This window comes from Homo sapiens, chromosome 13 (assembly GCF_000001405.40).
Source record: "Homo sapiens chromosome 13, GRCh38.p14 Primary Assembly".
NCBI classification, from domain to species: domain Eukaryota; kingdom Metazoa; phylum Chordata; class Mammalia; order Primates; family Hominidae; genus Homo; species Homo sapiens.
Window position 1 is genome coordinate 97,286,763 of NC_000013.11, and position 27,769 is coordinate 97,314,531.

General features: G+C 39.9%; 1 protein-coding gene and 1 long non-coding RNA gene across 57 annotated transcripts in view, besides 4 other annotated features; one reads left to right on the top strand and one right to left on the bottom strand.

Annotated features, from left to right (window-relative positions):
- The window catches only part of LOC101927385 (uncharacterized), a 55,360-nt gene extending 43,909 nt beyond the window's left edge, over positions 1 to 11,451 (bottom strand). Inside the window, exons 1-2 of one of the 2 annotated variants that reach the window (XR_001749966.2) lie at positions 8,481 to 11,451; positions 7,760 to 7,890 (exon numbers count right to left, since the gene is read on the bottom strand). This is a non-coding gene — a long non-coding RNA (uncharacterized LOC101927385). The remainder of the gene's footprint in view (positions 1 to 7,759; positions 7,891 to 8,480) is intronic. The other variant, XR_007063843.1, reaches the window with a different exon arrangement.
- MBNL2 (muscleblind like splicing regulator 2) overlaps positions 1 to 27,769 on the top strand; it is a 252,287-nt gene that overhangs the window by 144,929 nt on the left and 79,589 nt on the right. The window lies entirely within an intron of this gene.
- Positions 4,128 to 4,187: an enhancer, noted in NCBI's record as "active region_7888". NCBI's record gives its function as "activates an Ori minimal core promoter by ATAC-STARR-seq in GM12878 lymphoblastoid cells {active_cell/tissue: GM12878}" and the evidence as "EXISTENCE:reporter gene assay evidence [ECO:0000049][PMID:35858748]".
- Positions 8,613 to 8,907: a silencer, noted in NCBI's record as "tiled region #6469; HepG2 Repressive non-DNase unmatched - State 14:Gen5'". NCBI's record gives its function as "represses a minimal TATA promoter and a strong SV40 promoter by Sharpr-MPRA in HepG2 cells {active_cell/tissue: HepG2}" and the evidence as "EXISTENCE:reporter gene assay evidence [ECO:0000049][PMID:27701403]".
- Positions 21,611 to 21,755: an enhancer, noted in NCBI's record as "145 bp enhancer 219 fragment used in the MPRA reporter construct; PK_construct_883". NCBI's record gives its function as "activates an SV40 promoter by MPRA in HepG2 cells {active_cell/tissue: HepG2}" and the evidence as "EXISTENCE:reporter gene assay evidence [ECO:0000049][PMID:23512712]".
- Positions 21,678 to 21,689: a transcriptional cis regulatory region, noted in NCBI's record as "FOXA motif; enhancer activity is reduced when this motif is scrambled". NCBI's record gives its function as "necessary for full MPRA enhancer 219 activity {active_cell/tissue: HepG2}" and the evidence as "EXISTENCE:site-directed mutagenesis evidence [ECO:0005528][PMID:23512712]".

Sequence of the window (27,769 nt, forward strand, 5' to 3'; positions counted from 1 at the left end):
AGGGAACTGCAAGCCTCAGTTCTTCATGTTAGTCTGGTCTTTGCTTAAATGCCACGTTTGCTCACAAAAGCACCCCTGGAATTATCTTTACGTGACGCTGTCTATCTACTGTGTCTCTCCACTTTCTGTTTCCTCCACTGAATGTAAGGCTGGGAGGCAGGGACCGCGTTGTTGTATCCCTGTGCCTGGCAGCTACTGGCTGTACACCCATACTTGCTAGTGAAGAAATGTATCCTTATATCCTAAATTTTTAGATTCTAACTGTTCCAATAAAATTCAAATCGCTTTTCTGGCTGACTATTACTCAGTTTTTCCCATTAATGTACAAACAGAAAAACATCAGTGCTACAGGCTTTGTACAAAGAAGGCTCTTTGGTTTACAACTCGAAAGGTGTGGCAGGCTCACTCGTGTATAGCTGTCCTAAAAGCAGGTCACATGGAGACTTGCTCACAGGTGTCAGCTAGAGCTATTAAAATTCATGGATCGGCTTGTTGGGAAACTTCATCGTTCCCAAAAACTTGGCCCTAGACTGATGCTGGTGTTTGATAAAATCTTCACTAGTATGCTGTGAAATAAAGACACTGAAATACGTTTTTCTCATTAAAGTAAATTCATTCAATTTAAAGGCTGTTTGTTTAAACTGACATATATTGTGGGGTACCTAGTGATGTTTCGATGCATATAATATATAGTGATCAGATCAGGGCAATTAGCATATCCATCAAACATTTATCATTTCTTTGTGTTGGGACATTCAATATTCCAGCCATTTGAAACTATAATTTATATATTATTGTTAAGTACAGTCATCCTATGGTGATATAGAACACTAGAACTTATTCCCCCGATCTAGCTGTAATTTTCTACAAAACGTTGTTTTTTATTCCAAGATTGTTTTCTTCTTATTCTTCTGATTATTATGTTTATTTCTTTCTATTTTTTCTTTTCTTTTCTTTTCTTTTTTTTTTTTTTTTTTTTTGAGACAGAATTTCACTCTTGTTGCCCAGGCTGGAGTGCAGTGGCATGATCTCGGCTCACTGCAACCTCCGCCTCCTGGGTTCAAGTGATTCTCCTGCGTTCAAGCGATTCTCCTGCCTCAGCCTCCTGAGTAGCTGGGATTACAGGTGCCTGCCACCAGGCCCGGCTAATTTTCTGTTTTTTTTTTGTTTTGTTTTGTTTTTTTTTTTTTTAGTAGAGATGGGGTTTCACGATGTTGGCCAGGTTGGTCTCGAACTCCTGACCTCAAACAATCCACCTGCTTCGGCCTCCCAAAGTGCTGGGATTACAGCCATGAGCCACCATGCCCGGCCTATGTTTATTTCTTTTATAAAATGATTGTCTTAGTAGGTGAGTCTTGTTCTTTTTCCATAATGCCTTTACTTGGCAAAAAGAAAAAATAAACGGGCAACTCTGTCAGTTTCTCTCTCTTTTTTATTATATATTACTGCTTCATAAAATTCAAAGGCAGGGATCTATCTGTCCATACTACTTGGACTGAAATCCACACCAGCAAACTCACTCATTTGAGTCATACACACTGGAAGAGTTTTGTCATAAGAAAGTCACTGTGAAATCCACATGTTACCTGAGAGGACCCAAGAAATTCCTTAAGCCATTTTCTGTTAGCAAATGAGGACAGCTTGATCCATCAAATAAGCTAATATCCATTTGAGGGTGGGGAAGGAAAGAGCCCAACCAGAAACCTCAAAACCTAGAATGGCTTTGTTTCAGTGCACATAATCAAGTCCCCAAGAAACTGAGAGAAGCCAGCGGAAAATGCCAAGGTCTAAACAAAGGCCAGCGGGCATGCCCCTGGGACTGGGGAGACCAGGTTTGTTCTGCAGGAGTTAGATCAATGATGAACTTCACCCATTTCACAATTTTTCCATTAACTGACCCTGCTAATACTAAATAGCACATTCTTTCCACTTGGTTTGATTCAATTTCCTCTGGCTCAAAGATTATAGTCCAGTGTATATTAGTCTTTCTCAGCACCATCATGACCAAGAAGAATAAAACTGATACTCCTAGGACAAATCCTCCCCTGAGCACTGACCTTTGGGATTCAGGGAATGAGTAGATATTGACATATTTATTTGTGATCAAACTTACCTAAGCCATCCTGCCTGACCAAACAGCATTTTGGGGCTAAGACTGATGAGACCATTTTCTTATGCCTGAGGTTGTACCCACACAATATTAAGCTCTGTAGAACATGATATATTGCCAGGGGAAGGAGAAAAAGAAAATGACTTAGAGGCCTTAACCTAGTTAAAGCAAAACAGAATGGCTAGATTCAACTTCAGGGATGATTATATTTCATTTAGATTATTATCATCTCAATGGAGCATTTCTTATTCTTAAAAAATACATAATGCGTCTAATTTTTTACTGAATACTGATGTGGGTGCTTAGGTACATTAGTAATCAATCTTAATATAAAAACTTATGTGTTGAAAAGTAGAATAGAATATATAGATGCTCTTAAAAAATGACCATCTGGTCTACATCTCAAATCTCATTTGGAGGAACATTTCAAGTGCTCCCAGCTCTTAGTAAAATCATTAATAATGACACTAAAATAATCATTTGCATACCTGCCATGAAACTAGGCATTGACCCAGATGCTTGGGATCTAAAATTAATCAGTAGCAGCCCTCATTGGAGGCATTTAAATCATATGGCCTTTCCCCCATTCCTGCTAACTTTCGGTTGTTAACAGAAGTTGGGATAGCTGGAAAATACCAGGAAAACAAAATTCTTAATGAAGAATTCTAGTAGGTCCAGAATCTTCTGAGTGGTATGTAAAGTCAAGGAGAAAGACATTTCACTTTCTAGGGAACTTTAAATCTCTTTATTCATTTATTTATTTTACAAATAATCATTGAGCCACTATTTAGTGCCAAGCACTATGTTTGGTGACCAAAGGAGAGGCGAGGACCTTGCTTTCGTGGACCTTGCAGCCCAATGGGGTAATCAACAGTATTCCAACACAGTGGTAAAGTAAATTAAAATGGAGACCAGGCCTGAAGAAACTATAAGCAGACATAGCCAGCAAGACCTCAGATGTGACCTGAACCTAGCTTGATTTGCAAACATAAGCAAAACTTAACTTGAGCAATTTCTTGTAAATGCCTATATTAAAGAAGAATACAACTTAAACTCCAACTAATCAGAAGTAACAAACAAATGTGTAATTATGTAACTAGGGAATTTCCAACAGGATAGATGAAATAAGGTAACTGTATAACTGCAATCAGTCAAATATTTTCTCTGCATTACTTCCATGTTTCTCCTATAAAAGTCTCCCCATTGCAATCCCTCATGGAGTTCCCAAACCAGTTCTGGTTTGGAGCCACCCAATTCTTGAATCACTATTTGCTCAAATAAGCCCATTAAATTTTTATTGTACCTCGGTTTACTCTTTAGCAAAAGTAAACAAACTAATAAAATAATCACAATTTCTGAAAAGTGTGATTTATTTATGAAATTTGGAATGCCCCAGTATGACAGGCAGTGGGCACACCGCTGGAAATACAGCATGTTAGAAAGGAGACAAATTTCTTGACCTCGTGGGATTTTCATTCTAGTGGGAAGTGACAAAAAAAAATCAGCAGAAACAGCCCTCCTTGGCCGGGCGCGGTGGCTCACGCCTGTAATCCCAGCACTTTGGGAGGTCGAGGCGGGTGGATCATGAGGTCAGGAGATCAAGACCATCCTGGCTAACAAGGTGAAACCCCGTCTCTACTAAAAATACAAAAAATTAGCCGGGCGCGGTGGCGGGCGCCTGTAGTCCCAGCTACTCGGGAGGCTGAGGCAGGAGAACGGCGTGAACCCGGGAAGCGGAGCTTGCAGTGAGCCGAGATTGCGCCACTGCAGTCCGCAGTCTGGCCTGGGCGACAGAGCGAGACTCCGTCTCAAAAAAAAAAAAAAAAAAAGAAAGAAACAGCCCTCCTTTCCCACCCAACAATTATTTATTTACCTACTATGAGAATTACTAGAAAGGAAATGGAGCAAGGTACTCTGATAGAAAACATTGTGATGGGGGAAGACTTTTGCAGAAAGGGTGGCTTGTGATGTGTTCTCCAAGGAGTTGCTTTCTGAGCTGAGGCCTGAAGGAGAAGAGAGGAAGGCTTCCCAGATGCAGGGGAAAAAGCTCTAAGCCTGGCTGGAGATGAATGCGTTTTGCCAATTCCTGGAAACAAGAGGCCTGACATCATGAGTAAGACAGAAACTGTGTAGGTGTTTGAATGTTATGCTCAGCACTAAGATTTGAGTACAGGGATGACAGGCTCTGATCTGTCTTATGGGAAGGCCAGTCAGCCTGGAGGAGGGATGGTAGGAGGAGGAAGGGCCAGGTGGTTGGTTAAAAAAAGCCTCTGCATCACTCACATTACTAGCAATGCCACCCGGCTGGGGTGGAGGGGGCAGAGGTAGGTAGATGTGTGGATTTACAATATGTTTTGAGGTAGAATTATTATTATTATTATTATTTTGAGACAGAGTCTCACTCTGTTGCCCAGGCTGGAGTGCAGTGGTGCAGTCTTGGCTCACTGTACCCTCTGCCTCCCGGGTTCAAGCGATTCTCCTGCCTCAGCCTCCCGAGTAGTTGGGACTACAGGCATGTGCCACCACACTCAGCTAATTTTTTGTATTTTTAGTAGAGACCGGGTTTCACCGTGTTAGCCAGGATGGTCTCAATCCCCTGACCTCGTGATCCGCCCACCTCAGGTAGAATTATTAATATTAGAAAAGCTGATGTGTCACGACAGGTTATTAAAAAGATCAAGTAATACACATCCCATCTCCATTTGCTCTTTACCTTTGTGGCATCAAGAGTGATTGCTTGGGTCGGGCGCGGTGGCTCACGCCTATAATCCCAGCAATTTGGGAAGCCGAGGTGGGCGGATCACTTGAGGTCAGGAGTTCGAGGCCAGCCCAGCCAACATGGTGAAAACCCTTCTCTGCTAAAAATACAAAAATTAGCTGGGCATGGTGGCATGCACCTGTAATCCCAGCTACTCAGGAGGCTGAGGCAGGAGAATCGCTTGAACCTGGGAGGCGGAGGTTGCAGTGAGCTGAGATCATGCCATTGCACTCCAGCCTGGGCAACAGAGCGAGACTCCGTCTCCGTCTCAAAAAAAAAAAAAAAAAGTGGGCTGGGTGCGGTGGCTCACGCCTGTAATCCCAGCACTTCGGGAGGCCGAGGTGGGCGGATAAGGAGGTCAGGAAATCGAGACCATCCTGGACACGGTGAAACCCCATCTCTACTAAAAAATACAAAAAAACTAGCCGGGTGTGATGGCGGGCGCCTGTAGTCCCAGCTACTCGTGAGGCTGAGGCAGGAGAACGGCGTGAACCCGGGACGCGGAGCTTGAAGTGAGCCGAGATCGCGCCACTGCACTCCAGCCTGGGCAACAGAGCCAGACTCCATCTCAAAAAAAAAAAAAAAAAAAAAAGTGATTGCTCGAAGAGGGAACGACCCTTTCCTCTTACGAAGGCATCTCTCCTGGCCCCATTTGCACTGCTGGTAATTTTACCCTTCATGTTCTCTAAGGCCATTCTTGCCATAGTCACTCAGGAGCTGGGTGTAAACCCAAAGCTTGGGGAGAACTCGGTTTATCATCTGAGCAGACTTCCCTTGGACTGCTTCTGTAGAAAATCCTACTAAACATATCCTGTGTAATTGAAGCTCCCGTCACTAATAGATTTATCTTGGTTCGTCTTGAGATTGGCTCCAGTCTCCTTAACTTTTTCTTTGCCATTTTAAACAGAAAGTTCTATTTGATCATTTGTTTTTTAGAATTATTTTTTATTTCCAATTTCAATTCTAAATAAAAATCTAGCTCATTTTTACATGAAGTTTAAGCCCACTTCTTTAATTAAATTGTAGAAAGTGTTGTCGATATCCAAATTCCTCTCTCGGTGAGCCCCAGGTCCTTCCAAAACTTCTAAAATCTTCACTTGAAGTAACTGTACTTCTTGATACATAGTACAATTTCTTCTTTATTTTCCTGTAGGATTTCTTCCATTAAGTTCATCTTGATTTACATTTTTCTCAGGGAATTATTTATTTCACCAAGATTTTCAATTTTATCACTTAAAATTATTTTACTCTATCAGTCTTCTCCCTAAATATGACTACATAGATAATTTATAAATTATTTGTTTTCCTTTTATTTTTTAAATTAAATTTGCCAGAGGTGTGTCTGTTTTATTTGAAGAACCTGTTCTTGATCTTAGCTACCAGTTCTACAAAGGACAAATTATTTTATCTCATCATCATTATTATTATTTTTACTTCTGTGTTTATTATTTCCTTTCTCCAGCTTTCTTTTTAATTGTTTTGTCTTTTTGCCCATAAATTCTGAGTAGAATATTTAGTTCTGTTCTCATAATTCTTTTTTCGTTGAAGTATTTAGGACTGTAAATCTGCTACAAAAAATAGTTTTGGCTGTATCTTATAGATTTTTGTTAAATAATATTCTCACTTTTGTTATTTTCTAGTTTGCTTGACTGCCTCAGTCATTATTTATGCAACCACTTCTAAAATATCCAAGTAATTTGGTTTTTCTTTTTCCTTTGAAATTCTAGTAATAGTTTGTGGTAGTATTTTATTATTAAAATAAAAAGGTACAGTTTTTACCTTAGAAATGCACTAAAGTATTTTTTTGGTGCAGATGATGATCAATGTTTGTACCTGGTACATGACACTTGAGAAGATGCATTTCCTGTTCTTAAGGTACAAGGTTATATCAGCGTGCAGATATTTATCCAAACATTAAATAATTCAAGTGCTTTGTGCCTGTAATTATTTATTTTTGTCCCCTTGACCTGCCAGAGAATTATGGTGATGCAAGAAATTTTAATACTCCTCACATGTTTCCTTGTATTTCTAACAATTTTTGCATTTCATAGAATGATACTGTGTTGTTCTGAGCTTAGTATTTCCTGAGTCTCGTACCTTTTTTATGGCTCTTGTGTATCAATATGCAATTAACCTTTTTTTCAATATATTCTTTATTTTTGTTTTTGTTTAAAATTTTTTCTTTCCATAGGTTTTTGGGGAACAGGTGGTATTTGGTTACATGAGTAAGTTCTTTACTGGTGATTTGTGAGATTTTGGTGCACCCATCACCCGAGCAGTATACACGGAACCCACTTTGTAGTGTTGTATCCCTTACCCCTTCCCATCCTTTCCCCCGAGTCCCCAATTTTCTTCAATTTATTCTTTAACATGAATGTACCACTCCTGCTTTTTTTTTCTTCATGCTTTCCTGATATATCTTGTTTCATTCTTTTATTTTCAACTTTATTATATCTTTTTCATCTCGTGTAAGCTTCATTTCATTGAATTTCATTTTTAATTTGAATTAATCTTGAAATCTTATATTTCTCTGATATTTATATTATTTCTAGCTTACGCTTCTGTATCTACCTTCCTTTATTTTCTTTTTTCTCCTACTGTTTCCAAAACCCCTCACCAATTAATGAATGACTCTGTTCAATATTGTGCCATACTCCCTGCAAGACACATGGAAATGTAACACTCAGTTCTTGTTCTTAGGGATTTTATAAACTAACTAGGAGACAGATAGCCATGCAGAATTTACAATTAAATACTAAACCATGTGTACCGGTTATTAGCAGAAGAGACTTTTTAAGAATATGGAAGTGTTAGCTGCAAGAACAACCAAAAAATGTCATAGCAGAGAGCATTACGGGCTAGGTAGAATTTAGCTAACTGGGAAGACAGACCTTCATGTTATTTACCCTATATCAGTGGCTGCCAAATGATATTCCTTCGGGGACTTATGGAGGCATCTGGTCAGTAGGTCTGGGTATGGATCCCAGTGTTCTGTATCTTTAGAAGCTCTCCAATGCTGTAGCTGCATGGCCAAATTTAGAAAACATTACTTGAAATAGTTATATCACCTACTCTGAAACAGTTATTACACTGTATAAATCTAGTAACTATCCCTGAAGGTCTTACTTAAAGTTTCCATTTGTCATAAAATGTTCAAATAAGGCACAAAGACTATGTTAACTCATAGATTACATTTCCCAAGTCAGGATAAAAAAAGATCAAGCACCTGCCCTACACCCTTTGGCTTTTTATTCTTGTGACAATTCTAATTGCAGTGTCCAACTATGCAGAAGCCTATAAGTCATTAACTATAACTATAAACAAAACAACAACTGCCCAGTTATTAACCACCCAGTTATTGCCAGTTTGAAATGTTATGGTATCATTGTGAGGGGAAAGTAAGCAGTATGTGAAAAAATGGAAATGAATGAACTGGATGTGTTCACCCTGGAGAAAGAAAGATTCGGAGAAGACATGATAGCCCTCTACAAATGTTCAGAGTTAGCACAATGAAGAGGAAGTAACTTGCTCTGTGTAAAGAACAGGGCCAATGAATGAGATCTGTGGGAAGACACATCTTTGTTCAATATGAGGAAGAAGATACAAACATACCTTGAGGGATAAAAGTTTCCATCTCAAGAGCTGCTCAAATAGGTGCACACCTGGGATTAGTCTTCAGACTGTCTTTTAAAGTTTTTTTTTTTCTATACCAAAGATACTAACAGACAGTCCCAAGCAGAACTAATTGCTAAAGTGGCCAATCCCAGCTTAGCAATAGAAGTTTTCCCCTGTGCCAGCGTTGAAATATTTGGTTGCCTAGCAACCATTATGTATCTATGATGTGTTGGAAAATCATTTGTTTGTGCCTGGGTTGATGTAGTTCTTAACACCATACTTGGTTCATTTCATTCATGACAAGTATCCCCATTATAGTTTGTTACATATCAAAAGGGTGTTGAGCTGCAACGTGCACCGTAGTAATCTTTATCAAACCCTACCCAGCTGGCAAGCTTAGCCATAATGATCACAATAGAAATAGATGTTTGATCCATGCAGGAGATGACAGGATAGGACGATGAGAGCACAGTAACAGTTTGGGGACTCATAAAACTGTTAACATACATTTAAATCTAGTAGAGTTCTTGGAGTGATGGTACAAGTTTAATCATGAACTCTTCAACATTGAAATCCTGTGAATTTTGAATAAGTGACTAATACCAGCATTTAAGGTATAGAACAAAGTTTAAATACATAACATACTTAGGTCATAACTTTGCATTTACAGTCTCCTAGGAAACCAACAAAATATATCTGGATAGTTTAAAAGTATGATCTCATCTATAAAGAGCTGCTTTATATCATAAGAACCAAAGAACTGTTATTTGTCAAACTTCCACATTAAATATCTGCCAAGATATCTTATTAGGTTTTCTTAGTAATAATGACTCAGTACATAAAATAAACCATGGAACTCTGTCAGATTCTATCCACGCTAAATAATTGAGACACTCATTTCCTCTCCTTTGTTTGATTTCTCCAACCCAAATCATAATGTTACAAAGTGATTGATTTTGATTCATTTCTCTTTCTCTCTGAAAGATTTAGAACTGCTTTAGGTAACTTTTTATTAGCCAGTCCAAGACATTTGTACAACAATATAATTAATAGCATTTTTAATGAAAATGATGGCATATTAATTGGTAATTTTTGGATGAGTGTTCTTCCTAATTACTTATTAACCTTTAAATCAGATATACACAAGGGAACAGAACAAGATTCATGTCTTTGAGTATCTGAAAGCTTTATCAAGGTGCTTTTTTTATAAAAAGAATCCAGAGAAACTGTTTTTCCCCCCAGAGGGAACTTAAAATTATATCAGGAGCTAAGTGTGGTATGATGCTCAGCACATTAATATGCTACAGAATTTTTCAGTGTAGCTATTCATGGCCCTTCAGTGAATCATCATTAATAGAAGTACGGTTTAATAGATAGTAAAGAGGATGCTGTCGATTTTTCTTTACCATTTAAATTTGAGCTAGTTGCAAAAAGGTGCTTAAAAGAGAAAAATACTATTACCAGTTGAGATAGTCTATTTGAAGATTTTGACATACATACTAGAAAATGAGGGAGGCTAGACCAACAGAAGATTTCTAGATCTTTGGCCCCAAACATTAAGTCTGACTTCATGGAGCTGAAGAAAGTTCTATAGACAAGGTGTGATCAAGCTGACTCATTGCCATTTAAATAATAGTCCTATCTAAATGGTTGAACATCAACTAGATGAAGAGACAGATGTGGATTTTAGAGGACAAAAGTCCAATTTCATTTTCTCAGATAGGAAAGGGCATCCCAGTCAAGGCTCTTGTCTGTGGCCCTGTCCTGATCTGAGTTTCTGTCTGGCCTTTTTGTCCATGTGGTACCATTGAAAGAGAGTTACTATTTGAAGGTCAAAGTTGCTTTTCCACTCCTTCTGCACATTCATTTTCTACTTATGCCTTACCTCAATGCCTTTGTTCTGTTAACTTTTCTGCTTTCTTCCTCCATCTCTGCCTTCATTCATTTATGTCATGGGCATTTATTGAGGGCCTAACATACATGAGGTTCTGTCTTTGACATAGAGGGTTCAGCAGTGAAGACAACACTACTGCCTTCAAATTGCTGATAGTCAGGAGAGGCATCAAGATGAGTATCAGCCAACTGCCGTACAGTATGATAAGTACCAGGAAGGGTCTCCATGTGTCCTGGAGTATGGTAAGATCTATGGCATGAGCTCTGGAAACACCTTGTGGGCTTAACCCCAGTCCAGGGGTTGCGGAGGTCAGAAAAAACATCTCATCAGACTTGACTGGGAGAATTGGGGTGGGAATGGGTAAGAGTGGGTACCATGGCCATCTCTGACTCTGCTTTCTCTAACTCCATGAAGCTGCCTATTCTCTCAGCCATCCCCTCCCTGTCCCTTCATGTCTCCTGCTTCCATGTTTCCCTGCTAGATCATTATCTGCCAAAAAAGTATCCCCAGCCAAGACGACCCATCAGACCACTCTGCAACAATAGAGACTAAGATGCTGCTTAAAGGCCTTGCTGCATGTTGAGGAAGAGTTGATGAAGGAGTCTGGATATCCATTCTTTTTCTATGGTTTGCCTCCCAGTTTCAAGAGGTCTGAATGCAGTTGCAGACGAAGTTTTAACTGTGGCTCTGCCTGTCATTCTAAACAAGCAAAGGCTGCCAGAAATAAGACGAAAAGACAAAATGCTAAACTATAGCTAGAGCAGCAATGAATAAATAAATAGGTCAATAAACACATAAGCAAGCACATATAGAAAATAAACAAAATATTTCTCGAAAGGAGAGGGAAAACAGACACATAGAAGAAAATGATAATAATAGCTGCCATTTACTGAGTGTATACTACACATTGTGAACTTTCTCGGACCTCTTCAGTATATTAGATATAGTTAATGGGTGCAGCACACCAGCATGGCACATGTATACGTATGTAACTAACCTGCACATTGTGCACATGTACCCTAAAACTTGAAGTATAATAAAATAATAATATAAATAAATAAAAATAAATAAATAAAAAAATTCTTAAAACAGTCCTGGAAGGCAATTTGTTAAAAACAAAATAAAACTTCTGGAGCCATCTTTGGCACAAAGTAGGAAGGCAGTAACTATTTCTTGAATACATGAATAAATCTGTCTATTTGCTTGGTGTCTGTCTTCCTTCTCTCCCTGGAATATAAGCTCCCTCATAGCAGGAACCTTGTTTTGCCTTCTGCTGTATCCCAAGCACCTAGAATGCAGGCTGGAACATGGGAGGCACTGAATGAGTATGTCTTCTCTAAAAGATAGAAAATCTGAGACTTAACAAGATTCAGTATCTTTTGCAAAATCACACAATAGCTGGGAAGATCTGGGACTGGACCCAAGTTAACCCATGCTGTTTTTCCCTTTACATAATGTCTGTCTCACCTTTTCTTTCTCCTCCCACAATCATTCTCTAGTTATCTCAGACCTGTTTATATTCCAGATATTCTTTTCTGTCAATAAATCACCAATAAGTTTCTGTTTAAGGACTTAGCACAAAAGCATGCATTGGTGAATGAATATTTCACACGTACCTATTAAAGTAGGGAATGATGGGGAAGTTTTATTCTTCTGTTTGTGCCGGAAAAGTACTAGAGGAATACACGGCATTAAGGATTGCTTGTCCCTTGCAGCTGCAGTGGGCCTTCTGCTATGAAGACAGTGCAGTCAAACTCACTGATGCATTACAGCTCATTCTCAGGATCACCTGAGGTCACATGGTCACCTGATAAGTGTAGGCAAGCTGTAATCTCATAGTATAATGATCATAGTGAAGAGAATAGCTTGTAGTGTACTTGGCTGGTTTGGGAAGAAGTCAGAAAGAAAGCAATGGGATGTTAGGAATTGCAGGATTAGGACTGAAAATTATTGTGCTGGTCTGAAGAATCCACATGACTCAGAATTTCACAAAGCATGGGCATTGATGGTTTTTGTTAGTACTAGATTCCAGCTACTTTCACTTTTCTAGTTTTTTTTAACATTCTTTCTGTGTTAATTTCTTCTCTGTTTTTCCTATTAGCTGAATGAAATTTAAAGTTTTCTAACATTGACAGTGTTTTAGGGAACTATGCACTATCATAGTGCATGATAGTGTGTAAAGGCAACACAAGGTTCCTGCCATCAGGGAGCTTATATTCCAGGGAGAGAGAGAGGAGACAGACACCAAGCAAATAAATAAATTTATGGAATCGATTGATGTAGGCTTTTTGGAGCACAATTTGTAAATATATATTAAATTCTGAAAGATTCACAATGGTTCAACTCAACCATTCCATTTCTAGATATTTATTCTAGAGAAATACTTGTGCATTTGAACAGAGGCATGTACATGGATGTTCATGTCAGTATCATTAACACTTGGTTACATGAACTATGATTCATTGATACTGTGAAATACTGTATATTTAGAAATAAGGTAGAATTACTATATCTATCTATCTATCTATCTATCTATCTATCTATCTATCATCTATATCCAAGATTACAAACACATGACTTGAAAAAATCTTCAAAACGTATTACTTAGTAGGAACAAAAAAGCTTGCTGTACTATTTTTATGCCATTATCTTTTTTACTTAAAAAACATTCTAAGAGATATATTCCATAGGTACATATGTAATGTGTTAATCAGGTTGTAGCAGCTAAGCTGTAATAAGAGACCCAACAATCATATGGCTTTTAACCATATGGCCTAAACCAGTGAGCAAAAAGCTTACTCTTGTCTCATCACAGGATGTTGGGGGTGTTCTTCCATCATTCAAGGCCCATATTCCTTCCATATTGTGGTAGTTCTGCCATTTTTCAGGCTCTAGGGCCTTAGAATTGCATAGTCAAGGCTGGGTCACTGATACAGCCAGGTCCCAACCAGCCGTAAAGGAAAGGAGAAAATGCGGGAGAGGACTATTCACTACCTTAAGGGTCCCACCTTAGGGACTGTACACATCACTTCCACTCACAACCTACTGGTGAAAACTTTGTCCAACAGCCATCTCTTACAGCAAGGAGGGTTGGAAATGCAGGCCCTGGCAAGATGACCATGTACCCAACCATAGCTCAATGACAGTGAAAGTAACAGAGAATAAGTTTTGGTGGACAGCTAACTATCTTCTTCACCATATAGGGCAGCAGCATCCCCAACGTTTTTGGCATCAGAGACCGATTTCATAGAAGGTCGGTGGGGGATAGTTTGGGGATGAAATTGTTCCACCTCAGATCATCAGGCATTAGAGTCTCATAAGGATTATGTAACCTAGACTCCCCACATGCGCAGTTCACAATAGGGTTCCCACTCCTGTGAGAATCTAATGGCTCTGCTGATCTGACAGGAGGCGGAGCTCAGGCGGTAATGCTTGTCAACCTTCTGTCTAACTCAGAGTCCGTAATACCTCCATGAAGCCCACTTAACCTCCGAACTGACCTCTCTTGCAACATTGCCTTTCTCTTCATCTTCTTTTTCACCTTCAACATCTTTACTCCACTATACTCTCTTCCATGCTAACCACCATTGATCTGCTTCAAAAATTTGGGTGCTCAATCCCTACTGGATTATAAATTTGTAAAGAAGTCAACCAAATTATAATCTGGTAGGAATTATACCTGTAACTGGCCTTTTACCCTTGCACTCGGATTTTTTTCACTCACTCCTTTACTCACACAAATATATTGGGCATCTATAACTATGATAGATAGATACAGTAGGAAGTTGGAGTGATGAGACGGAATTGTCATTGACACCAGCTGTCCCCTTTGGAAACATCTGTTGAATTAGCCAAACAAGACATCTGTGTCAGAACAGATGAATAACAAGGGCAGTTGATGTGCCTGAGTTAGTGGTAAAGCTATTAAGCTAAGTAGGACTTCAGAATGGGAGATGATAACTGGAGATTCCTTAATGAGATGAGACTGGAATTGTACCTCCAGGCATATGTGATATTTGTCTAGACATAAAGACATTAACATGTACGGTGGGAATGGAGTGAACACTTATTGACTGCCTGCTACAGGCTGTGCACTGTGCCAGGCATTTTGCCTGCGTTACTCCATTTATCCCTACAACACATTATTAAAATAGGTACCCTGATATTACAGAGAGAGAAAATGAAGCAGAGAGCTTATATTAATGCCTCAGGATCCCCAGACTGGGAAGCAGAAGAGGTGGGATGTATGTTCAGAACTATTTTCTAGATAGATCTAGATCTGCCTGGTTTCTAATGACCTCACCGTGTCTTGGAGCATTTCAGGCAGGAGGAGAAGCAGGAGCAATGTGATGGAAGGGAGCTAAGTGTGGTCCATCAAGGGACAAGGAGGAAGGGAGGACAGCGGGTTGGTGGCAGGATGTCATTCCATATGCTTTTAGGTTGAGGTCACCCTGGTGTCTGAGGTGCTGTGGTCCAAGAGAATTGAGTTACTTGCAGGAAGTGCTGTATCATGCTTCACTTGGCATTGAGTTCTCCGCCAGCCCCGGGGGAAAGAAACCCCACAAGTCAGTCCAGCTCCACTGGCCCAATTTAACAAACCAGTTTAGATGCGGGGTTTAGTTAACAGAAAACACCACCAGCCTATATTAGTTCGTCAACAGCAAATGCTGACCAAGAGTCCTACAACCTTCCTGTTTCGTGAGCATCAGTTGCTCTGGGTGACTTATGGTCACTAGGACATAGGGCAGACATGTCTTCCTGGTCCTTGACCTACATAGTCTCAGAGCAGTAAGCTCTACTCCTCTCAGATTTCTTCCGGTTGGATACTTGCTCAGCTCTTCATGAGGTGACCATATTCCAGTGTTTTCTCAGAGATCATGTTCTTTAAAAGTCCTTGAGATTTCTGCAGCAATTCCTCAGCACATACTTGGAGGTGTGTTTCTCCCTGGTCCTGCAACTATCTCCCCTTGCTTCTGCCCCGTGAAGGCCCTCTCCTCTGGAAAGCTGAAACAAAACTATCTTCCTAAGCTAGTTCCCCTTCTTTTACTCTCTGACCCAAGCCATAAACAATTCTCAAATGCTTTCTAAAGACCTTTTCTCTAGAAGTGGCTCATTATTTTGATCAGTCAGATGAGAGGAAGAGAATCCCTTTCAATTAGAAAGGCATAGTGGGTAATGCTTTTTACAGAGCGTTACCTCTGTATTATGGGGGACCTGAATGTTGAAAGTAGTTTGTCCTTTTTTCTAAAGGTATTTTAGCTGTGGGGTGTGGTTGGGAGGGGAAAGCCTTGGAGCTCTCTGAGTAGGAAAATGATAGGAGAGAATGGACGTAATCTGGTAATCTAGAGTGGTAATATGTGCCCAGCACAATGCCAATTTCTTTAAAAGTGTTCTTTCCCTTAATCCTCACAACTAACCCTATGATATTGGGCCCATTTTGTGGATGTGACAGATGAACCTTAGAGAATTTTATTTTTCCTATGACTGGTATGTGGCAGAGTTGAGTTTGATCCTGATAATTTCAATCCAAACACAATGGGTGTAAATACGTTACTAGTGAGGACAGAGAAACTTCTAGGAGGCTGTAGTGGAGTCTGTACTTCAGCTGGGGCCCAGACTCTGTTGGCTCTGTGAATAGAATAGAAAGGAAGGGTGAGGCTGTTGACAGGAAAGGCTGGCAGGCAGAGAGTGAAAAGGACAGTGAAGAAGGGAGGGAGGGGCACTGACTGAGTGCCCTGCAGCCAAGCGTGTTCCAGCGGCTGTGCCACCAATCCCTACAATCATGTCATGAAAAAGTTCTTATTTTCTCCATTTTGTGGTTGAGGAGATAGGTTCAGAGATGTGAAATGACTCTACAGTGCCCAAGTGGCAGAGCAGGGATTCGAACTGGGCCCTATGTGATTTCCAATTCGGAGCATTTTGTACCTCTCTGCACTCTTCATATGTGGCTTCAAGCTTCAACCTTGGGCATGAGGAGGAATCACGAAACCTTTCCCAGAAACAGGGAAATCGTGTCCCAGTGAAGGACATGTGGGCAGGCTTTGGGATCATGAGTTCCTCGGGGAGGTGGCAAAAGTCTTTTGGGGTAGAAATTTCTTAAGTATCTGGGGACAGGAGCTGGCAATGCAGATTTGGATGGCAGAAGTCACAAGGCAAATACCAGCCCCCAAGGAAATTCAGGTGGAGTCAGGAGGGTCCTCAGGGCTGGGCAATGGGTGGGGGTGCCCATAAGCAGAAGCGAGGATTAACCACAGGACCAGCAAAATCATGGAGAAGGGACCATTAGCACCATAGAAGTAAATAAGAAGGTGCCAGGGTCAGAGACAATCAAAATGGAGAAGGCATAGAGGTCGGAATCCAGGCCCACCCCAGCCAGCTAGCTGCCGGCTCTCTCAACCATGCAGGCTGCACCAGTGATATTTTGGATCGTTTCAAATTTATTAAGAATATATTACATTCCATTAAATGCTGCAGCCATGAAGGACACTGAAGTGTTTCCTCTCTCAGGCCTTCCTGCTCCGGTGGCAGAATGCCCCATTTTCTCAGGGGCTCCGTCTGACGGGTTATTGTTTTCCAATAAAGTATTTGCTGAATATATGCCTCACATAAACAAATAGAAAAATAATAATAATGTAGACTATCTCTGAACCTTAGAAGAAAGTGTAGGCTTTCATTTAATGAGCTTTGGAGACAACATAGCAATTTTTGATGTCCTGTCAAGTTTGTTAAATTGAAATTCTACCAGGATTTTACATTGAGCCAGAACCAGCATGTCCCAGGGTATAAATTAGGCATAATTGGATATACACCGACTCTTTTGGTCACTGGATATAATTTAAGGCTATAACTGAATAAGTGACACTGTTGTGGCCTGACAAGCCCTCTCCCAAAACTTCTAGCCCACTTTCAGGAAGTAACTGGGGAGGCAGAGTCCATCGTATGACTTGATACCAGTGTTTTCCAAACCTAATCCCACACCTGAAGAAAGGCTCCAACCCATGGCTATTGGTTTATATTTTCAATAGAGGGGACAGGAATTTGCATTTTAAAATCTCTGATTAATTCAGTTGGAAAGCTGTATTAGAAAACACTGTTTTATGTTATTCAAGGAGAAAAGTCTTTGTCACATATTGTATTTACCTAAAGTTTGTAGGGATTGACTTGGTGAGGCTTAGCAGGGAAAGTGTTTATTTGATTATTGCCTACACTGACTATTCATATGAGTTTAATTTTATATCAAAAATATTTACTTACCTTCTTACATATGGGGTCAAATGTAAAAACTCATTTATTTGCTTTTTTATTTTTAATTTAATGATAATTGCTATTATCCTTTGGCATGCTATCCAGAATATCTCATATACTCTAACTCTGAACAAGAATGCAATGATCTGACAAGTGAAGGATTTCATAGTGGATCATAGTATAAGATCTTTAAAGACTTGATTTTGGATCCCAGATCTGTCATTTATAAGCCAGATGATCTTATGCAAGTCATTTGCAAAGTGGCAATAATAATAGTAATATCTAGTCTGCTTAGCTCATAGAATTGTTATAAAAATCAAGTGATGTGATGAAATGACAGAGCTTTGCAAACTATTAAATGCATTATTACATATATATTATTACATATATAAATGCATTGTTACAAATACATTATTACATAAACAAAATGCATTATTGCATAGAATTAAAATAATAAGTTCTATAGTGTTACTTCCACAACAGTCCCTGAGGGGAGAAAGTTGGAGGGATACCAGCTCTGCCTAATTTAGAGAAGCTCTGTTTAACCTTTATACCTTAAGATCTGATTTTTATATTGACCTTCTACATGAGGCTTCATTGGAAATCTGCTGCTTAAAAAAAATAAAGGTTGAAAATCAGTCTTCTGTGTTCTGTTGGGCTTTCTGCCCATATTCTTCCTTCTTTTAATTACCAGCCCACCCTGGATCAAGTAAGTGCTAATTACCACCTTCACAGATATTGTAAAAAGGTAAAATTCCAGTTAGCATCTTGACTTGACTTCTTATCAGGAGTTCTGGTTAAATTCTTAGGTTTAGTTGAAAAACAATGGCTAACATATATTTTTAGATGAATTACTCTTATTTTCAAATTTTCTTTCTACTACCCCTATGCATAATTAAGAAATTGCTATAACAGGAGAATTTCTATTTACAATCTACTACTTGGAAATAATAGTGAAATCTAAGAGGTACACATGTATCAGATGATATGAGCAAATCAGAAAACATATCTATCCCCAATACTCAGCCAATATTAGATTGATGTAATTTTAGATTAACTGTTTAAAAGCCTAAATCATGACTTCAAAATCCCAAATCAGCTGGGTATGGTGATTCATGCTGGTAATCACAGCACTTTGGGAGGCTAAGGCAGGCTGATCACTTGAGCCCAGGAGTTTGAGACCAGCCTGGGCAACATGGTGAAACTCCACCTGTACAAAAAATACAAAAAATTAGCTGGATGTGGTGGCACGCACTTGTAGTTCCAGTGACTCGGGAAGCTGAGGTAGGAGGATCCATTACTTGAGCTTGGGAGGTTGAGGCTGCAGTAAGCCGTGCGCACACCACTGCACTCCAGCCTGGGCAACAGAGGGAGACCCCGTCTCAAAACAAACAAACAAACAAACCAAAAATCCCAGGATTTTTATATTTTTTGTCAGAGTCTCATGATGAGTTTCTTCATGAAAAGTTCAAGATATTTGACAGAGAGCTACCCAAGCAATAATTATTTCTAAGAGGAGCGGAACAGGGAGGAAGGGGAAGAGAAGGGATAAAAAAGGGAACAGAACAAATGTGTTAATTCCAACAGATTCCGGTGGGCCTTTCTCTGCCCTGAGCCCGGAGGTGTCCTGGCATTTTTTGTGCCCTCACTGAGCAGCTTCCACTGCTAGTCTGCACATGTTCCCTTTCTCTCTTCACACAGGGGAAAGGTGGAGAAATGAAAACATTTTCTATGACATTAAAAATCACTTCCTCTCCTCTTTCCCCAGTGTCCCTAACCAGAAGAACCTAACTTAATAGGAGATTTCAGATGACAGAATTGTCCAGTCTTCCTCACCACCACCTCTTAACCCTTGCTCACTGCAGGGCAACCTGGTTGTTGCTCTCAATACTCCACCAACTGCCCTGGATGAAACCACCATTAACTGTTTAATTGCCACATTCATTGATCATTTTTGCAGCCCTTCATTTTATTTGACCTCTCAGCAGTATTTGACACGGTTGAGCACTCTCACTTTTTCTCACTTTCTTCAAACCTTCCCATCTTCTTTCCTCTTCTTCAAGGCACATATTTCTAGAGCCTTCCATTACCCTCTGAGAGCAAACTCATGGTGGTCACTCCTTGCCAGGACTGTGACATAAATGACACCTCTTACATTATATTGCAATGATTTGTAGACATGATGGAGAGGCTGGGACTGGACCACCAGTGTGACTGCCTGGGACATAAATGGGAAACTTACCCCTTGGTGGTCCTCATTTCACTTTCTCCATCTAAGCAAGGAACAAAGAAGCAAATACTTCCAGAAAAACTTGAAGGGCTTCCCAGCACCAGAAAGAGATGAGGAGAATAGGTGTCCTACTTATGAGCTCATTTTTCATGTGGAGGAAACCTGCATGGGAAGTAGACAGCCTTTGGACATTGGTCTCCTGGGGCTCAGTAGAGTCTGGTGTTGTTGCCAGGCAACAAGAACAAGGCTCAAGGACTATAAGTTCTTGTCTAGTTGGGAAGAAAATTTGGATGGATTCTCAAAAGGATTTCAGGAATGTGTGGAGGCTCTGCCTTGGTTGGATCACTCAGTGTTCATGAAGTCTCCTGCATGCCCAGCCCTGTAGACTTTTGATTTTTATCAATATAGCATCTTATTCCTTATTGTTCAAGGCATGTTCCTGTTATCTCCCTGGTTAAATTGAAAACTTTTCTGAAGGAGAGAAAGAAAGTCTAAATCTCGTGGGTTCCATCTCCCAGCATCCAACATAAATAAAAACGTCTTCAATAAAACCATGTTGATTGATTGGTTGATGATTGATTATTTGACCTGCCATCCTAGTTGGTTGTCAGAAATCCTCTCCTTATTTTTCTTGGTGGACACAAGTTTAGTGATACTTGTAGAGGCCAACTTTGCCTTTCAACTTTGAACTTCCATTGATTTTTCCACTGTGTGTGCCAAAGCCTTAAATTGGTTCCAGTTGCTTAAAAGAGATGTATATTTTTCTTCTACACATTTTATGGAAAAAAAAAAACCTGGAGCGTATTTTCCCTAGACTCCACCAAAACCAGATAGTTTTTCCAGAAATGTATGAATGAACAACAAAGTGGTTACTTTGGAAGCCGACATACCGTTATATTGGATTTCAGAAAAGTCAAGTAATCCCATATTTCATGTGATTCCAGGTAAAAGAAAAAATATTTAGTCCACAACAGGAAGGGAAAAATAAATTCAAAAGCTCCCTTGTGCAGATTTGTGATATAAACACTGAAAAATTTAATGTAGCAGCAGTATGACAAATTATATTAGTAAATATGAATTGCTTTTTAGACAAAAGGATATTCATGACATTTTTGCTGTTTAAAGATAAAATGATCTCTTTCTTCTTCATTGAATCATAAAATCTTGGACCTGGAAAAGACTTTAGAGAATTAAATTATTTTCCACCCAAGTGCCAAGATAGTGACTCCTCGAGGGCACGGATCGTATTTTCTGCTCCCTCTTCAAAATGTCCACAGTGCTGAGTCAAACGCTGTGCACTCAGTTCCCTTAAATAACAGTCAATGATGAGAATGCTGTTCACAGATACAGGGGATAAAAACAAAAATCTTATCCTCACTTTCTGGAATTGTGTTTCTCTTTGATAACAACCCATTTTGAGCCATAGAGCTATTATAATAAAAGGGATTACATCTTTGGGATTTTCCTTGTATCACTCATTAAAATGTCATGCAAAGAACCACACTGGTCCTTTTGTTGCTGGACGAACACTGGCTGGCTGCCACATGCCTGCAGGCCCCAGTTCACAGAGGCCCCACACATTGACCTGCTCATTCAAAACTGTTGCGAGGGCTTTACCTTTATATCACCACAGTACAGTGACTTACAATGATTCCAGATCAATACTCCTCTCAGAGTTTGTCTAGGAAGTCCTACCAGCTGTCATGTAAGGGTAATTAACACATCTCTCTCAATTATGCATGCTGGTGGAAGAATTTCAAACATTTGGCTGGATAACAAATCCATCCCCTCTGTTAGAGAAAGGTCATCCCTCTGGCCATCTGGGTATTTACTTTTCTTTAGAAATGAGCTTCATGGAATTTTCTGTTGGAAGGGGAAAATGATGAGGACAAAGGGAATTTCCTAGTAAAAATGATGATGGCCCATTTAACACTGCTCATACCCACACACCAACAATCTTAAATCTTACACCTAATGCTTATTTTATTTATTCCACTATCTACTAACCTACATCATGTGTGGCCTGCCCACTATTATGACAAGAGCTGCTTTAGAGGCCCCTGAAGTTTTATGATGATCGATCTGTATAACAGAATATTTCTTTTTCCTCTGATTTGTTCACAAAAGATACAAGCCTTCACTTTGGGGGAGTTGAGAAAGAAAAGGCACTGAGAGGCATGCAAGGATGAGTAAGTTCCTGCTCTTAAGGAAGGTACAGTCTAGCATCAGGGAACACACAAGTGACTGTGACTATGACAATGGTCATAACCCTTCATTTCTAGCAAGATAAGCAAAAGAAGCCCTGGGAAGGAGGAGACGTTTCTGAGCGGGACTGAGGAGTCATCATGGAGAAAGGGCATCAGAGATGGGCCTGTGGGGGTGAAGTAAGAGGGCAGTCTGTGCAGAAAGAGCCCATGAGCATAGGCGCAGAGGCAGAAAAGTGTGGGTGTGTTTGGAATCTGAGAGTAGCATGGTTGGACTGCAGCATAAAAAACCATGGGGTATGTAGGGAGATAAATAACAACAACACATAGGAACAGGGCTGTGGGGAGCTTGCACGCCCAAGTGAGGAATTTGGACTTTATTTGGTAAGTGGGGACAATGGAAGACTTTGAGCACGGAAATGAAAAATGTCAAAATGACCTTTGCATTCAAGGGCAGTTGCATCACATCTCCCCCAAAATTCATACCTTGAAGTTCAAACCACTGTTGTTGACTGTAACTTACTTGGAGACAGGCCCTTTACAGGGGTGGTCAATTTAAAATGAGGTCATCAGGGTGTCTTAATCCAATATGACTGGTGTCCTTATTGCAAGTAGAAATTTGGACACGGAGATAAGCATAGATGGAAGACAGTGTGAAGAGACAGGAAGAAGATGGCCATCCACAGTCAACAAGAGGGTGCTGGGACGGATCTTTTCCTCAGGGCCCTCAGAAGGAACCAACCCAGCACACACCTTGATCTTGGACTTCTGCCCCTAGAACTGTGAGGGAATAAGGTTCTGTTGTTTGAGCCACCCAGCTTGTAGTACTTGGTTATGGCAGCCCAAGCAAACCAACAGCTGGGAATGAAATAATGTGGGCCTCTCAGAGGATGGTAGCAATGGGAAATTCAGGGAAGAAAGAGAGATGAAAAATATCATAGCGAGAGATGCTTGAGCATGGCTCATGCCATGGGGATTTGAAATTTTAAAATTGTACAGTGTTTCAACCCAACAATAAGAGCTAGCTCTTGTTCATTAGTTGGTTTCATTCAAGTTAACACCAAGAGTAGAAGTTCTTTCCCTTCATTCAAAGAAAAAATAAGATCGAGAATAGCACAGAGAAGGACTATCTGTAATGGAGTATGGGGCAGGCTATGCAAAAGGCGGAATATTGGTGTTTGAACATTCATTTGAAGAGATTTAACCAAAGTGGAGGCCTAGGAGGGTGGTAAGGACAGAGGACTGTCGGGCAGAGGACTTAGCCCCTGGCAGAAATGTCAAGGTGTAAGGCTCAGCAAATAACCAGCTTCTCATGCTGCCTTCAGGGTTCTGATTGGGCTTGCAAAGGCCTGGGTTAGGGTTAGTTCCGGCTCTGACTCCAAAGAGTCGTGTGATCCCAGACAAGTCACGTTCTCTCTCTAGCTTCAGGGTCTGTACCATAAAAAGAGGGGATTGTCCTGGATCATCTTAGAGATTCCAGTGCCAAGAACATTTTCATGATACAATGCTAATTATGTGAAGTTTTATGTTAGATATAATAAATACATGTTTGTATATATGTCTGTGTGTATGTGAGTGAGATTTGTAGCCCTCCTATTTCTTTTTTTTTTTCTTTTTTTTCTTTTTTTTGAGACGGAGTCTCACTCTGTTGCCCAGGCTGGAGTGCAGTGGCGCGATCTCGGCTCACTGCAAGCTCCCCATCCCAGGTTCACGCCATTCTCCTGCCTCAGCCTCCTGAGTAGCTGGGACTACAGGCACCCGCCACCATGCCTGGCTAATTTTTTGTATTTTTAGTAGAGACAGGGTTTCAGCGTGTTAGCCAGGATGGCCTCCATCTCCTGACCTTGTGATCCACCTGCCTCAGCCTCCCAAAGTGCTGGGATTACAGGAGTGAACCACTGAGCCCGGCCTATAGCCCTCCTGTTTCTAAAAGGAATTTGAAAGAACTTTTGAAATTCAGCATCTTTTTTTTTTTTTTTTTTTTAAAGAACAACTAAGTAGAAAATCAACCCAAAGGAAAAGAGAAACATATTACCGGTCACCTGAGATGAACTCTTTATTAGATAGAACTTTAGCTCTGAGTTTCCTGGCAGTTAAGGTAAAAAGAAAAACATGTGCTCATTGTCTGATAAAAATCAATGTAATATGATTAGGTCTTGAGAGAAACATGTAGATATGCTGAGTGCTCAGATAAGATTACGTTTGAGAATAGGCAGATTCAAGACACATTAAAAGCCATGCAAAAATCCATACTCCTTAATCTAATAATTCCAGTTACACTGAGGAAATAAAAAAGAGGGGGAGGAATGACTATGTGTGTGAAAATGCTTTTCACAAAATTATTTATGAAAGTGCAGAACTGTAAAGAGCCAGAATGGGAGGTAGAGTTAATTGTGGTGCACTCATTCAAGCAAACACAATGCCGGCATTGTAAACAGTGAGGTTCTCCAGCAGCACAGAGAAGCAAGGTGCGTGATCGGCTCCATAAGAACAATCAGGAGATAAAATTATTTGTTCACCAAGGTTCTAACTATATAAAAATATGAAACTGTCAAAAATGAGTCTTCAAACATGGTGGTAATTATGGTAGAGTGATGCTTTTAAGCGTGAATCCCCTCTCACCATGTTTCCCAATGTTTAATGATGTTTACAATTAAATTTAAGCAAACAAGCCAGCTCACACACTTAAGCTTTTCATTCTAGCTATGCTTTATGGGATTACATTTTTTAATTAAAAGAAAAGAGATTTCATAAATACAAAAATAGCAAACTGAAATTGTATTCCTTAGAAAAATCAATTTCTTGAGATAGCGTTGGATTTTTAGAGGGGATTTTTTTTCTTTTTTTTTTAAAAAAAAACCATGTGTAGATGTGTGGTGCTCATGCAGAAGTCCTCCTTGTTTGCTTTGAGGTCATGGAAGCTGCCTGAATTAAACATGTGAGGAAATACCGTTAAGGGGCTACAGGTGGGTTAACGTCCAACAGTCCTCTCTCCTTAGCAGCCTCCTAAGCCTCCTCTTCGGTTAAATCTCTTTAAGTGAATGTCCAAACACCAATATTCCTCCTTTTGTATAACCTGCCCCACATTCCATTACAGATAGTCCTTTTTTGTGTTATTCTTGATCTTATTTTTTCTTTGAATGAAGGAAAAGAGCTTCTACTCTTGGTGTTAACTTGAATGAAACCAACTGATGACTAAAAACTAGCTCTTAGTGTTGAGTTCAAACATTGTAAAGTTTTAAAACTTCAAATCCCCATGGCATGTGAGAACATTCTGGAAACGATCCAGCATAGACAATAACTTGAAAAACAGATTCATATAAGAAAAGTATAGCTGCACATGTCAACAGTTGCTCCAGCCTTTGGCAAAGTGCTTCCGAGTGCATGAAAATCAATCAATGGAATACATTCTGTTAATGGAATAAGGGGACGGAAAACATCATCTCAGTTGTTACATAAAAAGTATTTGATAAAATCCAATATCCTCTCATGATTAAAACAGAGAAGTTTCTCTTCTACTTGCAGCATTTCTTCCATTTCACCTTCCTTTTTGAGTACTTTTCCTTATTTCATGTTTTTGCACTTGTTTCTCATGAAGTCTGTTATTTTCTCTCTATTCTAACATCCTCTTTTACTGGAGGTAGGTAATTAACAAATTACTTCACACTGAAGCTTTAATGATTTCAGGATTATTATCATTGCAAAATTCCTGGATCATGAAGAATAGGAAATATCTCCAAGAAACGAGTCTATAATGGTAGCTCTCAAAGACCAGGAAACCCTAGAATGTCTCTTCTCCTCATTGGTCTTCATAACCCATAGTTTGCTCTAACCACAGCCATTGAGTTAGAATTCTAAGTAGCCCACAACTTAGATTCATTTTATTACTTATCATTTACTACTCATATGTTTTCAAAGAATTAAAATTCCTCTTTTGGCATTGAAAAATTTTCTCTGTGCATCTATATTACTAAGTATGTTTTCACTACCTGTTCATTGGGAACACACTTTACAAAAATTACTGTGAATTCAATTAAAAATTATATGTCTGAATCTGCATTTTATTCCTCACAGTAGAGTTTATAACTTTGGAAACTATCATACATGTACTTACTTGTAAGACAGTATTTATTCAGTCTACAAGCAGTATTTGGTGCTACATGCAACCATGTTCCCCTGGTGACAACTTGCATCCATTGGGGTAGCAATCGTCTACAGAGGGAAACACTGAGAAGCACAGAGGAAAATAAATTCTAGAAATTCTTGGGAGAAATTGCAAATAGATAGGCCAAAAAGAAGTCAATTCCTCTAGACCTCAGGACCATGAATTGGAAAGTGGAGGCTCCTAGTGGTGCTCCCTAAATTCTAAAGGTCCAACGGCTCTTTGAATCTTTGCCTTTGTCAGGATAAAGGCAGGTCCAAGGTGTTAACTCTAAATCCTCAAAATAGAATCTAAGCTATCAATTTGCTTATTCTGAAGCAATTTTCAATGGTTTTCCCTGCTTTTCTTTTCCATGCATCTAACTGCACTCTTGTCTTCTCACAACACATAGGACCCACTGCTGCACAGAAGGAACTTGAATTCTAATCAGCCAATGTTTTATTTGTGGGACATCCCATCAAATTTTTTAAAAAAGATCTTATTGAACAGAAGAGGGAAATGGAATTTGAGGATGACTTGACATTGTGAGATTAAATGGGGTTGGCAGAAGTTTGACCAGGACTTTTCCCTGCTCTGCTGGAGAGACTGTCTCTCCTCTTGGTGCCCTTCTTGGAGGAGCATTTTCAGCCTGCTGCCTAAACAGCTGTTGATGGATAGCTTTCTCCCTGCAGCACTGCTCCAAAAGCTGGTAGCAGAGATGGCTGATCTATTCCCAGCTGTCTGGATTTTAAGGCTGAGCTGTAGGCTTCAGGGATAGCCACACACATTCTTTCAAGGTCTGAGGCAGGCACACTGGAAATAGTGTGGCCCACTACACCTGGGCTTCTTACATGTAAGCCCTTTATGCTCTCCCAGGCTCTGACCTGCTCTGTGATCACAAGGGCAGTCCTAAATGGAGATCTGTATGAGATCAGCAGTATTTAGCAATTGGGAGTTTGACATAATGCACTTTCTCATAATTTATTAAAGTTGCTAATACATTTAAAAAATATGTGAAGAACATGGAAACCTCTCAGTAATATGTTCTAGTGCATTAACCCTCCATTGATTTTGCATCTCAATCAGAGTAAAAGCCAAAGACCTTATGATGACCAGTAAGGGTCACCATCTGGTCACCTCACTCTCCCCACCTCTCCAATCTTAAGTTACTGCTCTTACCCTCACTCACTCTGCTCTAGCCACACTGACCTGGTTGCTATTCCCAGAATATTCTAGGCATGCTCCTGCCTCAGGACCATTGCATTTCCTCACTCCTCTCCCCAGAAGCTATCAGACCTGCTGCCTGCCCCCTTAACACCTCAAATGGCATCCTCCCTTTGAGATCTTCTTTGTTCATCCTATGAAAACTTGTAAAGTTTTCTGCACACACACTTCCTGTCTCTCTCAGTTCTGTTTTTCTCTCTAGCACTTATCACCATCATCATATTCACTACATGTTGTATTTATTGATCTTGTTGAGTGTCTGCATTCACCCATTAAAATGTAAGCTCTATGAAGGCAGGGACTTTTGCCTGTTGTGCTCATTGTCTTGTCTCTAGTGCTGAGATCAGT